This window comes from Homo sapiens, chromosome 19 (genome assembly GCF_000001405.40).
Source record: "Homo sapiens chromosome 19, GRCh38.p14 Primary Assembly".
NCBI lineage: Eukaryota > Metazoa > Chordata > Mammalia > Primates > Hominidae > Homo > Homo sapiens.
In genome coordinates, this window is record NC_000019.10 from 4,115,977 (window position 1) to 4,131,783 (window position 15,807).

General features: G+C 53.5%; 1 protein-coding gene across 2 annotated transcripts in view, besides 4 other annotated features; it reads right to left on the reverse strand.

Annotated features, from left to right (window-relative positions):
* The window catches only part of MAP2K2 (mitogen-activated protein kinase kinase 2), a 33,802-nt gene extending 25,656 nt beyond the window's left edge, over window positions 1-8,146 (reverse strand). For both annotated transcript variants that reach the window (NM_001440688.1, NM_030662.4), the window contains exons 1-2: window positions 7,808-8,146; window positions 1,443-1,653 (exon numbers count right to left, since the gene is read on the reverse strand). In NM_001440688.1, coding sequence (NP_001427617.1) covers window positions 1,443-1,653; window positions 7,808-7,899 — 303 coding nt within the window. In that variant the 5' untranslated portion in view covers window positions 7,900-8,146. The remainder of the gene's footprint in view (window positions 1-1,442; window positions 1,654-7,807) is intronic.
* Window positions 131-317: a silencer, noted in NCBI's record as "fragment chr19:4116105-4116291 (GRCh37/hg19 assembly coordinates)". NCBI's record gives its function as "represses an EF-1alpha promoter that drives an FKBP-Casp9 reporter gene in an ReSE screen in K562 erythroleukemia cells {active_cell/tissue: K562}" and the evidence as "EXISTENCE:reporter gene assay evidence [ECO:0000049][PMID:32094911]".
* Window positions 7,739-7,988: a silencer, noted in NCBI's record as "silent region_9881". NCBI's record gives its function as "represses an Ori minimal core promoter by ATAC-STARR-seq in GM12878 lymphoblastoid cells {active_cell/tissue: GM12878}" and the evidence as "EXISTENCE:reporter gene assay evidence [ECO:0000049][PMID:35858748]".
* Window positions 8,179-8,298: a silencer, noted in NCBI's record as "silent region_9882". NCBI's record gives its function as "represses an Ori minimal core promoter by ATAC-STARR-seq in GM12878 lymphoblastoid cells {active_cell/tissue: GM12878}" and the evidence as "EXISTENCE:reporter gene assay evidence [ECO:0000049][PMID:35858748]".
* Window positions 15,056-15,350: an enhancer, noted in NCBI's record as "tiled region #2607; HepG2 Activating DNase matched - State 5:Enh, and K562 Activating DNase unmatched - State 5:Enh". NCBI's record gives its function as "activates a minimal TATA promoter and a strong SV40 promoter by Sharpr-MPRA in HepG2 and K562 cells {active_cell/tissue: HepG2 | K562}" and the evidence as "EXISTENCE:reporter gene assay evidence [ECO:0000049][PMID:27701403]".

Consider the following 15,807-nt stretch of genomic DNA (forward strand, 5'->3'; position numbering starts at 1 on the left):
ATCATGGCCCAGGAGCCCGGGATGACTAAGCACGGGGGCCGTCAGCACCAGGGCTTGCAGACTTTCAAAGGGTGGGTGACAGTCAGCTTTGTGTGTCTCCTCGGTGAGACCACGGTGCCCAGTTGTCAAACGCCAGTCTAGAGGTTGCTGGGAAGGTATGTTTTTAAGATGTGATTAACCTTTAAATTGGCAGACTCTGAGCAAAGCAGATTACTCCACCCCAGGGTGGGTGAGTCTCAGCCAATCAGCTGAAGGCCTTCAGGGAAAAGCCTGCCCAGGCGCGGTGGCTCATGCCTGTAATCCTAGCACTTTGGGAGGCCGAGGCAAGAGGATCACTTGAGGTCAGGAGTTCGAGACCAGCCTGGCCAACACGGTGAACCCCATCTCTACTAAAAAAACAAAAATTAACTGGGTGTGGTGGCATGCACCTGTAATCCCAGCTACTCGGGAGGCTGAGGCAGGAGAATCCCTTGAACCCAGGAGGTAGAGGTTGCAGTGAGCCAAGATCGCACCACTGCACTCCAGCCAATTCCTTAGAATAAATCTCTCTCTACACATACACTCAAGTATCATTAAGGACAGGGATACACTGAGAAATCCCTCTCTGGGCGATGTCGTCACTGTGCAAACACTGGAAAGCCCATTCCACACCCAGGCTCCCATGCTCTGTACAGCGCAGTGCTGAGCTGCTGTCTGTTTATTTAAATATAGAGAACCGAGGCAGGCGGATCACCTGGGGTCAAGAGTTCCAGACCAGCCTGGCCAACATGGCGAAACCCTGCCTCTACTAAAAACACAAAAAAATGAGCTGGGCCTGGTGGTGTGTGCCTGTAATCCCAGCTACTCGGGAGGCTGAGGCAAGAGAATCCTTGAACCCAGGAGGCGGAGGTTGAAGTGAGCCAAGATCATGCCACTGCACTCCAGCCTGGGCAACAGAGCAAGACCCCGTCTCAAAAAGTAAAAATAAAAATAAAAATAAACATACAGAAGGCACAGCAAAAACATGGCCTGATCATCTTACGTCGCCACCGCTGCGTAGGCGGTCTGTCACTGGCTGAGCCATCGCCCTGAGGTGGCTGTACACATAGGCGCAAACACACACACGCTTCGTCTTCATCGCTTGTTTCTCTGGAGAACCATAACACACTCGCATTTCTGAAACCCCCACGTGCTAGCTTTCTGGGAATATGGATTTCAAGTGCCCTCCAGGGCAGAAAGTAGTCACTGGAGGGCACAGCTGTGTGTGGCTGGTGTGGCTGGCACGGCTCCCATCTGCCCAGAAGCTGGGCCCTTTCTCAGGACCTAGAGTCCCTGGTGGGGATGAGGGACAGAGCCTGGAGCTAATCAGAATGCAGAGACCCGGCTGCCTTCCCAACCTGCCTCCTGTTTCCAGGGGGACCTTCCCCACCACTCCCCGACCTCCCCGACCCCGCAGTGCTCACCTTCCTGGCCATGATGAGGCCCGAGGGTCTGTGCTGGACTTTGGTGACCACCCCGCCGTTGCCCGCGCCCAGCTCTGAGATCCTTTCGAAGTCATCGTCTTTGAGTTCGCCGACCTTGGCTTTCTGGGTGAGAAAGGCTTCCAGCCGCTTCTTCTGCTGCTCGTCAAGTTCCAGCTCCTCCAGCTTCTTCTGCAGGTCCACCAGGTTTGCCCTGCAGAGACCCCCCAGGGTAGGGGTTAGCTACCTAGGGAGACTCCATCTGGCCGTTTGCTATGTGGCCGTGGTGCATCGGCCCCCAGGAGGACACAGACTGGATTCCTGCACTTGAGGGGTTCATGGTGTAGAAGGAAAGGATCCATGCTGTGTACCCCCATAGACACACCAATGACCAGAATCCAGGGCGGCTCCCCGGGAACTGAGGACGCTGCCTTGATCCTGTCTCAACAAGTCTAGCAGACCTCAGGACCTCAAGGATAAGCTGCAGCTCAAAGGACCCAGGAAGCCTCCGTCTTTTTCTTTTCTTTTTCTTTTTTTTTTGAGACGGAGTCTCCCTCTGTTGCTCAGGCTGGAATGCAGTGGCGCGATCTCGGCTCCCTGCAACCTTGGCCTCCCGGGTTCAAGAGATTCTCCTGCCTCAGCCTCCCAAGTAGCTGAGATTACAGGCTCCCGCCACCATGCCCGGCTAATTTTTGTATTTTCAGTAGAGACAGGGTTTCGCCATGTTGGTCAGGCTGGTCTCCAACTCCTGACATTGAGTGATCCGCCTGCCTCAGCCTCTCAAAGTGCTGGGATTATAGGCGTGAGCCATTGCACGCGGCCGGGAGACCTCCTTCCTAACGCACGAGCTCCGGACCATGTCGGGAGGAGACGAGGAAGCTGGGATCGGGTGAACGGAGCCCGGGCCAAGATGTCTGTCTTTGCAGGAGATAGAGGAACAAGCGTTCTGAGCAGCCTCAGAGCACAGAATGAGAACCAAGAGTAGAGGGCAGAAGGCTCAGCACAAAAGCTGCATCAGGTAGGCACGGTGGTGCACGTTTGCAGTCCCAGCTACTTGGGAGGCTGAGACACGAGAACTGCTTGAACCCGGGAGGGGGAGATTGCAGTGAACTGAGATCTTGCCACTGCACTCCAGCCTGGGCAGCAGAGGGAGGCTCTGTCTCAAAACAAAACAAACCAAAAAACAAAAAAAACAAAAAATAAGCATGACCAGCCTGGGCAACAAAGTGAGACCTATAGCCGAGCACAGTGGCTCATGCCTGTAGTTCTAGTTACTCAGGAGGCTGAGCCCAGGAGGTCGAGACTGCAGTGAGCCATGATCGTGACAATGTACTCCAGCCTGGGTGACAGAGCAAGACCTTGTTTCTACACAATAAAAAATTTCTAACAATTTAAACAAGCAAGTACATTGCACTTTATTGGGTGATTCAAGGAATCTTCAGAGGAAATTTCGACAGTAAGCTATTTTCACAAATGCCTTGACTCAGAACCAGATCCTGGAGTAACAGACAACTAAGCGCAATGCACACAGGAACCCATTGCTGTGCACAAGCAATGGAATGTAAACCATGCGCACAAATTAAAATCTTCTAGTACCCATGTTTAAAAAGAACAGGTGAACTCACTTCATTTATTTAGAGACAGGGTCCTGCTCTACCTCCCAAGCTGGGGTGCAGCGGCACGATTACAGCTCACTGCAGCCTCCAACTCCTGTCCTCAAGTGATCCTCCCACCTCAGCCTTCCTAGTAGCTAGGATCACAGGTGTGAGCCATCATGTCTGGCTCTTTTTAATTAATTAATTTTTATTATTATTATTATTTTCTGAGACAAAGTCTCATTCTGTCGCCCAGGCTGGAGTACAGTGGTGTGATCTTGGCTCACTGCAACCTCCACCTCACGGGTTCAAGCAATTCTCCTGCCTCAGCCTCCGAAGTAGCTGGAATTACAAGCACCCGCCACCACGCCCAGCTAATTTTTGTATTTTTAGTAGAGACAAGGTTTCGCCATGTTGGTCAGGCTGCTCTTGAATTCCTGGGTTCAAGCCACCTGCCCACCTTGGCCTCCCAAAGTGCTGGGATTACAGACATAAGCCACTGCACCTGGCTGAAATTAATTTTAATAACACATTTGATTTAACCCATCAAAAATGTTATCATTTTCAACGTACAACCAGTATGAAAAATGAATGAATGTTTCACACTGTTTCCGTCTTAAGCCTTTGAAATCTACAATGGCATTATTGCGCCTATGCTCTCGTGGGTTTGGGCAATTCTTGTTTTATGTGTTGCCTGTAGCCAGGGGCTACTCAACCAGGCAGTGCAGCTTTAAATGGCTCTCTGGAAGAACAGGCCACCTCCAGAGGTCCCAATTCAGGAAGGAGCTAAAGCCAAGGTGGACAGCCAGAGAGGGGACTGAAGCAGGGAATGAAGGCGTGGACTGCTCCTTCCATCTGGAAATTTCCAATCCCAAAGTTCGACCACTGTTCGCCTACAGCTGGAAGTGGCGTAAGCCACGGGGCACACAGGCCAGAACCGAGGCGATGGCGCTGGAGCTGGTGCTGCAAAGAGCTCGCTGGAAGGCAGGGGCCTGGGCACCGCTTCCTGGGCTGGACAAACACCATCTCATTCCATTCTCACCATCGTCCCCGGAGGCCCAGGCAGGAGGGAACAGACTCACAGGGGTGGGGGAACCTGCCCGAGGTAACAACACCTGCCTGAGGTCAGGACAACCCCTGCTCATCTTAGTGTCCCCCATGAGGGGAAACAGGGCCCTAGTAGGTGCTCACTGAGGAGCTGCTGAACAAGGACCCAGAAGAAGCAGAAATGGCGAGACCCTGGGAGTGGGACAGAAGGTAAGGAGGGGAACATGAATGAATGAATGAATAACATCAATGAATAAATGAATATTTATTTTTTTTGAGACAGTCTTGCTCTGTCGCCCAGGCTGGAGTGCACTGGCACGATCTCAGCTCACTGCAACCTCTGCCTCCTGGGTCCAAGCGATTCTCCTGCCTCAGCCTCCTGAGTAGCTGGGATTACAGGTGTGCATCACCGCGCTCAGCTAATTTTTTTGGCATTTTTAATAGAGACGGGGTTTTGCCATGTTGGCCAGGTTGGTCTTGAACTCTGGGCCTCAAGTAATCCACCCACCTTGGCCTCCCAAAGGGCTGGGATTACAGGCGTGAGCCACCACACCCAGCCATGAATGAACACTTCTGATGGCAGACTTGGAAGGTCTCAAGTACTGCTCAAAACATTGAAAATGCATTCTGGAGTCAGCTGACTAATCCATCTTAAATTTACTGGCAACCCAACTGTGGTTATTAAACAAAACAAAACAAAACCTTGGCGTCCCTACAGCCAGCTTCCTCTCCTGGGGGAATCCTTCAAGAGATGGGAATCAAACCCCACACGGAAGAGAAATGTGAAGGGCGAGTTCTGTGCAGAGAATGAGGAACGGGTCCCCGTGTCTGGCTGTGCCCGTGTTGACTTGCACACATTGGCATCAAGAGTCTTCATCTGGGTCACAGAAGGCCGACCCCCAAGCGGGAGAGGCCACCAGACATGCCACAGTCCCTGACACCTGGTTCTTGAGGGGTCACACCGCAGGCACGGCACCCGGACCCCAGCCAAGGGCCCCGGGGATCGCCCTGCCCTGCCTCGGCCTGCAGAACGGGAGTGCAGAGATCACCCTGGCATGACCCCACCAGTGTGTGCCCCCAACACCCAGTCCCCTCCCTCGTCCTGGAGCAGTGCGATTCTGCCAGCACGCCACCCGGACCCCAGCATACCCCTTTCTCAGATCCCTTCACCCAGGCCTCTGGTCGCCCTCCACCTCCTCAAAGCTTCTGCACTGGGTCAGCCCCTCACAAGGGTTTTCCGGTCCACTCACTTCAGAATCTGCACCTCTGCTTTCAGGGGCCAGCAGGGTCCCCTGATCCCCACGCCTCCTCGTTCCTCACACTCTGGCTTCCCTGTCTCCTCACACTTCCAGCTTCAGGGACTCCACACACTGGGCACCGCCACAAGCAGGAGATGCCCTCTCAGAGATGCCCATCTTGACATCTTGACCTCCCTGGGACCCCATCCTGACCCCCTCAGAACCCCAACATGAGACCCCTAGGACCCCCTGCTCTGCCCTCCCAGAACCCCCACAACATGACCCCCCGAGGACCCCCTAACCTGACCCCCCCAGAATCCCCCAACATGACCCCCGAGGACCCAACCTGACCCCCCCCACAACATGAACCCCCTGGAACCCCTGTCCTGATCCCACTAGACCTCCCCCAGCAGAAACCCCTCCATCTGGAACCCGCTAGAACTCCCATCCTGACCCCGCTAAAGCCCCCCCATGTCCTGACACCCCTAAGACACCCCCTTGTCCTCAGATACCCCAGAACTCCCACCCTGACCCCCCCAAAGTCCCCCGATCCTGACCTTTCTAGGGTCTCCCACCCCATCGTGACCCCCTAGGACACCCCTCTCCCACATCCTGACCCTTCTGGGAGCCCCCTGTCCTCCCCTCTCTTCCCTTTTCCCTGGTTGTCTATGGACCTCCTCACCCCATCCTCTCCCCTAAGGGACCCCCCTGCCCCACCTTGGCACCCTAGGTGCCCTCTTCATCCCATGCCAACCTCATTACTCAGGGACTCATTCCCCAAAAGGACCGCTCCCCGCCCCCCCAAGACCTCTCAGCCTGTCCTCCCCACCCAGGTGCTGCACTCTCAACCTGTGGCTCAGGCACCCTCCCACCCCATCTCTCCCCCATAGGAACCCTCCCACCCCATCTCTCCCCCATAGGGACCCTCCCACCCCATCTCTCCCCCATAGGGACCCTCCCACCCCATCTCTCCCCCATAGGGACCCTCCCACCCCATCTCTCCCCCACAGGGACCCCCTCACCCCATCTCTCCCCCATAGGGACCCCCTCACCCCATCTCTCCCCCATAGGGACCCTCCCACCCCATCTCTCCCCCATAGGGACCCCCTCACCCCATCTCTCCCCCATAGGAACCCTCCCACCCCATCTTTCCCCCATAGGGACCCCCTCACCCCATCTCTCCCCCAAGGGACTCGCTTCACTATCATTTCAATATGCAGAACACCCCTTGCCTATCCTTCCCCCACAGGCCCCCACCGACACATCCTCTCCTCCCAGGGACCCCCTCAACCCCATCTCACAATTCAGGGGCCCTGCACCCCATCTTCTCTCTGCAAGGACATCTCCTTGGCCTGATCTCACGACTTAGGGATTCCAAACCCCATCTTTTCCCCAAAGGGATCTCCCCTCACTCCAATCTCATTACTCAGGGACCCCACCATCTCCCCGATTTCACTATTCAGGGACCGTTCACCCCATTTCACTACTCAGAGACCTACCACCATTCTGCTACTCAGTGACTCCATGCCCTGTCTTTTCCCACAGGGACCTCCCTTGGCCCTATCTCATTATTGAGGGACCCTTACCCCGTCTTTTCCTACCAGGGACCCTACCCCATCTCAGTCTCATTACTCAGGGACCCCTCACCCCATCCTCTCCCCTCTGGAGCCCCCTTGCCCAGATTTCCTCCTCAGGGGCTGCCTGACCTCCCCACACCCCATCCTCTCCTCTCAGGAATGCCCTGCACCCCGATTTCCCTACTCAGGGTCTCCCCTCACCCTCATCTCATGACTACGGCAACCTTTACTCCGTCCTTTCCTCTTAGGAACTCTTCACCCTCATTTCACTACTCAAGGACCCCACACTGTGTTCTCTCCTCTTAGAGATACCCCTCACCCCGATCTCACTGCTTGGGGAGCCTCATCCTGTTCTCTCCTTGGGGACACCCCTCATTCCGATTTTCCTACTGAGGGACTCCCCTCACCCCAGCTTCACTTTTCAGAAGCCCCACACCCCATCTTCTGCACTGCAGGGACCTCCCCTCACTCAACCTCGCTGCTCAGGGACCCCTGTCCCCATCCTCTCCTCTTAGAGACATCCTTCACCCCAACTTCACTACTCAGAGACTCCCGTTATCCCAATTCCACTCTTCAGGAACCCCACACCCCATCTTTTCCACCACAAGGACCTCCCCTCGCCCAATCTCACTGCTCAAAGACCCCCCTGCCCCGTGCACCCTTCGCCCCGTCCTCCGAGGGCCCCCTGCCCCGTCCTCCCCCGAGGGCCCCCTGCCCCGTCCTCCCCCGAGGGTCCCCTGCCCTGTCCTCCCCTCGAGAACCCCCTGCCCCGTGCACCACTCACCCCGTCCTCCCCCGTGACCCCCCTGCCTCGTGCACTCCTCGCGAACCCCCGTCCCCTCGCCCCGTCCTTCCCCGAGGGCTCCCTGCCCCGTGCACCCCAAGCCTCCGGCTGACCCCTGCCCACTCACTCGGAGGCGCCCTCGCTGGTAGGGGATGGGCCCTCGGCGATGGTAGGGTTGATGGTGAGCGCCGGCAGCACCGGCTTCCTCCGGGCCAGCATCGGGGCTCCGCGGGCCGGCGGCGGCGGCGCCTCTAGCCGGGGCCCATAGGGGGCGGGCCGGGAGCGGTCGGCGCCTACGCGAGCCCGGGGCTGCGGCCGCGGCCCAGGCCGGCGTCGGGGCGGCCGAGGGCGGGCGGCGCTGCGGGCCTGGGCCGAGGGTAGCCGAGGGGCGCTGGGGCTGAGGCGAGCGAGCCGCTACCGCTGCCGAGGCCCGAAGAAGGCTGACGCCGCAGCCCGAGTCCGAGAGGCAGGGGGAGGGGAGGGGCGGCCACAAGATCGCGGACCGGCTTCTCGCGATAACGGGATCGGGAGCCGCGATGGACCCCACCCCCAGCCGCCGCGCCTGCGCAGCAGCACAAGGCCGCCTTTCGGAGGGGAAAGGGGCGGAGACCGACGCGAGGCGGTGCCGGGACCGGGCGCCCTCGCTTGCCTTACCACGGCGCGTGTGCCCAAGCGCTTGGGGCATGAGGCGCGGGAGCAGGGGAGGAGACGGAGGGATGAAGGCTGGGGTGATGGTCGTGCACAGGTGGGCAGGGTAGCCAGACTCCTGAGAGCCTGTGGTGCCCCAGGCTGGGGCTGAGAGAACCCGTAAGACCCCAGAACAGTGGACGAGACCCACCCAGAGTCCATTTAATCTTTTTGGCAAGCGTGGACACACGCCCCTAGCCCCCACCGCCTTAGAGTGTCAGTTACTCCCCCTCCTTCATCAGAACAAGGCCACTCTAAAACATTTTTAAAATTTATTTTAATTGACAAATAAAATTGCATATATTACTATGCGCATGTTGAAACATTTTTATTATAAAATACACATAACATAAAACTTGTCATTTTAACCATTTCTAAATGCACAGCTCAGCGGCATTAAGCAACCACCACCACCACCATCTCCAGAATTTTCTCATCTTCCGAAACTGAAACACTGTCCCCTATGAAACCTCACTCCCTATCCCCCTCCCCAGCCCCTGGAACCCAACGTCGTACTTCCTGTGAATCTGATGATTCTAGGGACTTCATATGAGTAGGATCACACAGGTTTTGTCCCTTTGTGGCTGGCATATTTCACTGAGGGCCACGTCCTCAAGGTGCCTGTTGTAGCTGTGTTAGATCCACGTTGTAACCTGTGTTAGAATTTACCCACTTGACTACTCCGGGCATACTTCCAATCGGGTAGCCCTGCTCCAAAAAAGAGCAGAAAAAAAAAAAAAAAGAAAAATTTCCCTTTTTTTTTTTTTGAGACGGAGTCTCGCTCTGTCACCCAGGCTGGAGTGCAGTGGTGCGATCTCGGCCCACTGCAAACTCTGCCTCCCGGGTTCACGCCATTCTCCTGCCTCAGCCTCCCGAGTAGCTGGGACTACAGGTGCCCACCACCATGCCCGGCTAATTTTTTTGTATTTTTAGTAGAGACGGGGTTTCACCGTGTTAGCCAGGATGGTCTCCATCTCCTGACCTCGTGATCCACCCGCCTCGATCTCCCAAAGTGCTGGGATTACAGGCGTGAGCCACCGCACCCAGTCAGGATTTTCCTCCTTTTTAAGGCTGAATAATATTCTATTGTGTGCATGGACTATATTTTGCTTATCCATTTATCTGCCACTAGACACTTCGGTGAATCGTGCCGCTATGAACACAGATGTACAAATATCTGTTTGAGTCCTTGCCTTGAGTTCTTTTGGGTATATGTTCTGAAGAGGAATTACTGGATTATATGGTAATTCTATGTTGAACTTTTTGAAGCACCACCTTACTATTTAATACAATAGCCGTACCACTTTATAAGAAAGGTCATAGGCTGGGCGCGGTGGCTCACGCCTGTAATCCCAGCACTTTGGGAGGTCGAGGCGGGTGGATCACCTGAGGTCAGGAGTTGAAGACGAGTCTGGCCAACATGGTGAAACCCCGTCTCTACTAAAACAAAAAAATACAAAAATTAGCCGGGCATGGTGGCGCGTGCCTGTAATCCCAGCTACTCGCGAGGTTGAGGCAGAAGAATTGCTTGAACCCGGGAGGCAGAGGTTGCAGTGAGCCAAGATCACGCCATTGCACTCCAGCTTGGGAGACAAGAGCGAGACTTCGTCTCAAAAAAATCAAACAAACAAACAAACAAACAAATAAATAAATAAAATACAAAAATTAGCCAGGCCTGGCGGTGTGTGCCTATAGTCTCAGCTACTCAGGCGGCTGAGGCAGGAGAATCGCTTGAACCCGGGGGGCAGACGTTGCAGTGAGCCAAGATTGCACCACTGCCCTCCAGCCTGGGCGACAAAGTAAGACTCCGTCTCCAATAAAACAGAACAAAAAAAAATTTAATTTTTTGCCAGGTGCCGTGGCTCACACCTGTAATCCCAGGACCCTGGGAAGCTGAGGTGGGCTGATCACTTGAGGTCAGGAGTTCGAGACCAACCTGGCCAACATGGTGAAACCTCGTCTCTACTAAAAATACAAAAATTACACAGGTGTGGTGGCGGGTGGCTGTAATTCCAGCTACTAGGGAGGCTGAGGTGGGATAACTGAACCCCGGAGGCGGAGGTTGCAGTGAGCCGAGATTGTGCCATCGCATTCCAGCCTGGGCGACAGAGCCAGACTCACGCTCAAAAAACAAAACCAACCAACTGGCCGGGCGCGGTGGCTCACGCCTGTAATCCCAGCACTTTGGGAAGCCAAGGCAGGTGGATCATGAGGTCAAGAGATTGAGACTATCCTGGCCAACATGGTGAAACCCCGTCTCTACTAAAAATACAAAAATTAACTGGGTGTGGTGATGCGTGCCTGTAGTCCCAGCTACTCGGGAGGCTGAGGCAGGAGAATCGCTTAAACCCGGGAGGTGGAGGTTGCAGTGAGCCGAGATCACGCCATTGCACTCCAGCCTGGGCGACCGACCGAGACTCCATCTCGAAAAAAACAAAACAAAACAAAACAACAAACAAAACACTGCTCCTGGGGAAGCCTGCTCCTGGGTTTTTACAATCTGGGCCTTTCAGTTTTACTTCTCATCGCTCCCACCCGCTTGTCCAAAATTCAGATGGATGCATATGTGGCCTCAAATAAGGACAGGCCCTTTCAGAGACAGGGCTATTTCCATGTTCCTTCTGTTTTGCCTAGCAATCTTTCTCCCATTTTATCCTATTTTAGGCTTTTTTTTTCTTTTTAAGACAAGTTCTGACTCTGTCACCCAGGCCTCAGGCTGGAGTGCAGTGGCACGATCATAACTCTCTGCAGCCTCCACCTCCCTGGCTCAAGCGATTCTCCCACCTCAGCCTCCCTAGTAGCCCTGGCTACAAACATACGCCACCACACTCGGCTAATTTTTGTATTTTTTGTCCAGACAGGGTTTCTCCATGTCACTCAGGCTGGTCTCACACTCCTAGGCTCAAGCGATCCTCCTGCCTCGTCCTCAGCAGTGCTGGGACTAGAGCCGTGAGCCACTGCACTCACCTATTAATGCACAAGTTTCTGAAGTTCAATTTCTTGGATTATTACAACTCTATACATCCATGTAACACTTCCCCTTACTCCAGAAAGTCTGTTCACTGCCTTTTTAGTTCATTCTCTTCCTCTGCACCCAGCAGTAGTGAGCTGGTAAATGTTTAACAATGAGCCATTAAAATAAGGAGAGGCCGGGTGTGGTGGCTCACACCTGCAATCCCAGCACTTTGGGAGGCCAAAGCAGGTGATCACTTGAGGTCAGGAGTTCGAGTCCAGCCTGGCCAACATGGTGAAACCCCATCTCTACTAAATATACAAAAATTAGGCTGGTCACGGGTGTAATCACAGCACTTTGGCAAGCCGAGGTGGGCAGATCACCTGAGGTCAAGAGTTCAAGACCAGCCTGACCAACATGGTGAAACCCCGTCTCTACTAAAAACACACAAAAATTAGCCGGGCATGGTGGTGGGCACCTGTAATCCCAGCTACTCGGGAGGCTGAGGCAGGAGAACTGCTTGAACCCCGGAGGTGGAGGTTGCAGTGAGCCAAGATTGTGCCCCTGCACTCCAGCCTGGGCAACAGAGTAAGGCTCCATCTCGGAAAAAAAAAAAAAATTAGCTGGGCATGGTGGCAGGTGCCTGTAGTCTCAGCTACTTGGGAGGCTGAGGCACGAGAATTACTTGAACCTGAGAGGTGGAGGTTGCAGTGAGCCAAGATCGTGCCACCGCACTCCAGCCTGAGGGAGACTCTGTCTCAAAAAAAAAAAAAAAAAGAAGAAGACCAGATGTGGTGGCTCATGCCTATAATCCCTGCACTTTGGGAGGCCGAGGCGGGTGGATCACCTGAGGTCGGGAGTTCGATACCAGCCTGACCAACATGGACAAACCCTGTCTCTACTAAAAATACAAGGCCGGGCGCGGTGGCTCACGCCTGTAATCCCAGCACTTTGGGAGGCTGAGGCAGGCAGATCACGAGGTCAGGAGATCGAGACCAGAGACCATCCTGGCTAACACAGTGAAACCCTGTCTCTACTAAAAATACAAAAAAATTAGCCAGGCGTGGTGGCGGGCACCTGTAGTTCCAGCTACTCAGGAGGCTGAGGCAGGAGAATGGTGTGAACCCGGGAGGTGGAGCTTGCAGTGAGCTGAGATTTCGCCACTGCACTCCAGCCTGGGCAAGAGAGCAAGACTCTGTCTAAAAAAATAAATAAATAAAAATAAAAATACAAAACTAGCCAGGTGTGGTGGCACATGCCTGTAATCCCAGCTACGAGGGAGGCTGAGGCAGGAGAATCGCTTGAACCCAGGAGGTGGAGGTTGTGGTGAGCCGAGATGGTGCCACTGTACTCCAGCCTGGGCAACGAGAGTGAAAGTCAGTCTCAAAAAAAATAAAGTTGACAATGGTATCAAAGATGCTTACGAGTGGCTGTAAGCCAGCTGCAGTCCACTACTACTCCCAAAACCCCCCCAGATTCTGCGTTCTATCCCCATAGATTAGTTTTTGCCTGTTCAAGAGTTTCATGTAAATGGAATTGCACTCATGGTGTCAGTTCTTTTTTTTTTTTTTTTTTTTTGAGACAGAGTCTCACTCTGTCACCCAGGCTGGAGTGCAGTGGCACGATCTCGGCTCACTGCAACTTCCACCTCCGAGGTTCAAGCGATTCCCGTGCCTCAGCCTCCGGAGTAGCTGGGATTATAGGCGTGTGCTACCACACCCAGCTAATTTTTGTATTTTTAGTAGAGATGGGGTTTCACCATATTGGCCAGGCTGGTCTTGAACTCCTGATCTCGTGATCCACCTGCCTCGGCCTCCCAGAGTGCTGGAATTATAGGCTGGGATTACAGGCGTGAGCCACCGCACCCGGCCTGGTGTCAGCTCTTTCTGCTTTAGGACAATGTTTTGTTTTTGGTTTTGGTTTTGTTTTAGACAGGATTTTCCTTTATTGCACAGGCTGGAGTGTAGTGGTGTGATCTCAGCTCACTACAGCCTCCACTTTCTGGGCTCAAGCCATCCTCCCACCTCAGCCTCCGGAGTAGCTGGGACTACAGGCTCCCACCGCCATGCCCAACTAATTTTATATTTTTTGTGGAGATGGGGGGGTCTCATCATGTTGCCCATGCTGGTCTCAAACTCCTAGGCTCAAATGACCCCAGTGACTTGGCCTCCCAAAGTGCTGGGATTACAGGCGTCAGTCACTGTACCAGGTCCTGAGACAATATTTTTGAGATTCATTTATATTATTTCACATAACGATAATTAGTTCGGTTTCCTTGCTAGATGATATCCCATTGTATGTACTGTGGGCATTGCCCTTGACATAGAACAGTAAATGAATCATCCTTCTGGCCGGGCGCGGTGGCTCACGCCTCTAATCCCAGCACTTTGGGAAGCCGAGGCGGGTGGATCACGAGGTCAGGAGATCAAGACCATCCTGACTAACATGGTGAAACCCCGTCTCTACTAAAAATACAAAAAAAATTAGCAGGGCGTGGGGGCAGGCGCCTGTAGTCCCAGCTACTTGGGAGGCTGAGGCAGGAGAATGCCGTGAACCCAGGAGGCGGAGCTTGCAGTGAGCCGAGATCGCGCCACTGCACTCCAGCCTGGGTGATTGAGCAAGACGGTCTGTCTCAATAAGTAAGTAAGTAAATAAATAAATATATAAATTCTCCTTCTTTTTTTTGGAGACGATCTCACTCTGTTACCCAGGCTGGAGTGCAGTGGTGTAATCACTGCTCACTGCAGCCTCTACCTCCCGGGATCAGGTGATCCTCCTGCCTCAGCCTCCTGAGTAGCCGGGATGACAGGTGCACACCACCATGCCCAGCTAATTTTTTATTTTTTGTAGAAATGGGCAAGGGGAGTCTCACCATCTTACCCAGGCTGGTCTCAAACCCATGGGCTCAAGCGATCCTCCTGCCTCAGCCTCCCAAAGTGCTGGGATTACAAGTGTGAGCCACCAAGCCCAGCCTGTTATGAACTTTTTTTTTTTTTTTGACAGGGAGTCTTGCTCTGTCACCTGGGCTGGAGTGCAGTGGCGCAATCTCGGCTCACTGCAACCTCCGCCTCCTGGGTTCAAGCGATTCTCCTGCCTCAGCCTCCTGAGTAGCTGGGATTACAGGTGCGCGTGCCACCACCCCCGGCTAATTTTTGTATTTTTTGTAGAGATGGGGTTTCACTGTTTTGGTCAGGCTGGTCTCGAACCCTTGACCTCGTGACCTGCCTGCCTCAGCCTCCCAAAGTGCTGGGATTACAGGCGTGAGCCACTGTGCCGGGTCTGTTATGAATTTTTTGAGGCCAAAGAAGATGTTGGATGTATCTCCTTCTCTCCCACTTTACCTCCCCGGACATAATGGATGCTGGATACATATGTGTTACTTGAAGGAATGTCCTGGGTGTTCTTGTTCTCAAGGAGACAGGTTGCCTTATTACAAGGCAACCATTCGCAGCACTTATGATAAAACAGGAGCTTTAATTGCTGAGGTTACAGTGCAGCCTCACCCCCTCCACCCATTCTCTATCTTTACTACCAAGCATAGTTTGCCCTGTGACCTCTCTCTGTGATATATTTTCTACTTATCATTGCTTCCAATAACACTTTTTCTGAGTACATCTGTCTCTTGGTCCCAGAGACGTGGGTGTCTCCTAAATTGCTCCTCCCAGGAAATAAATTTCTAATAGCTTTCTTGATAGATTCAATCCAAGGTGACATTTATCTTGTAGAGGCATATGCTGGTGTTAATATCACATGTGTACATTGTTTCCAACTAGCAATGTCCTGTGAACTTTATCTCTGTCACCTGTGCAATGGATTAACTGACAGAACAGCGAACTGAACCCTTTGGAAAGCAATTTAACCCTATCGTGAGCGCGCTGTGACTCAGCAGTTGGGATCGTGGGCATGTGACTTAGAGAGACTCTTGCCTGTGTGCAAACGGGAGACTCACACAATAATGTTCTCAATGGCAAAAATTTGGAAAGTACACAGAGTCCATTGATGGGAGAATGGAAAAATACGTCCTAGTGCAGTCCCACAGAGAAATATGATACAGCAGAAAATTCCTAAGTGACAACAGCATAAAAGAATCTTAGTTAGTCTCAGCTACTTGGAAGGCTGAGGCTTGAGGATTATTTGAGCCCAGGGGTTCCAGGAAGACCTGGGCAACATAGGGAGACCCCCCTTCTCTAAAGAAAAGAAAAAGGCGGGCTGGGCGCGGTGGCTCACGCCTGTAATCCCAAGACTTTGGGAGGCTGAGATGGGCGGATCACCAGGTCAGGAGATTGAGACCATTCTGGCTAACACAGTGAAACCCCGTCTCTACTGAAAAAATAAAATAAAATAAAATAAAATAATAAAAAAATTAGTCGTGGGTGGTGGTGGGCGCCTGTAGTCCCAGCTACTCAGGAGGCTGAGGCAGGAGAATGGCATGAACCCAGGAGGCGGAGCTTGCAGTGAGCCAAGATCACGCCACTGCACTCCAGCCT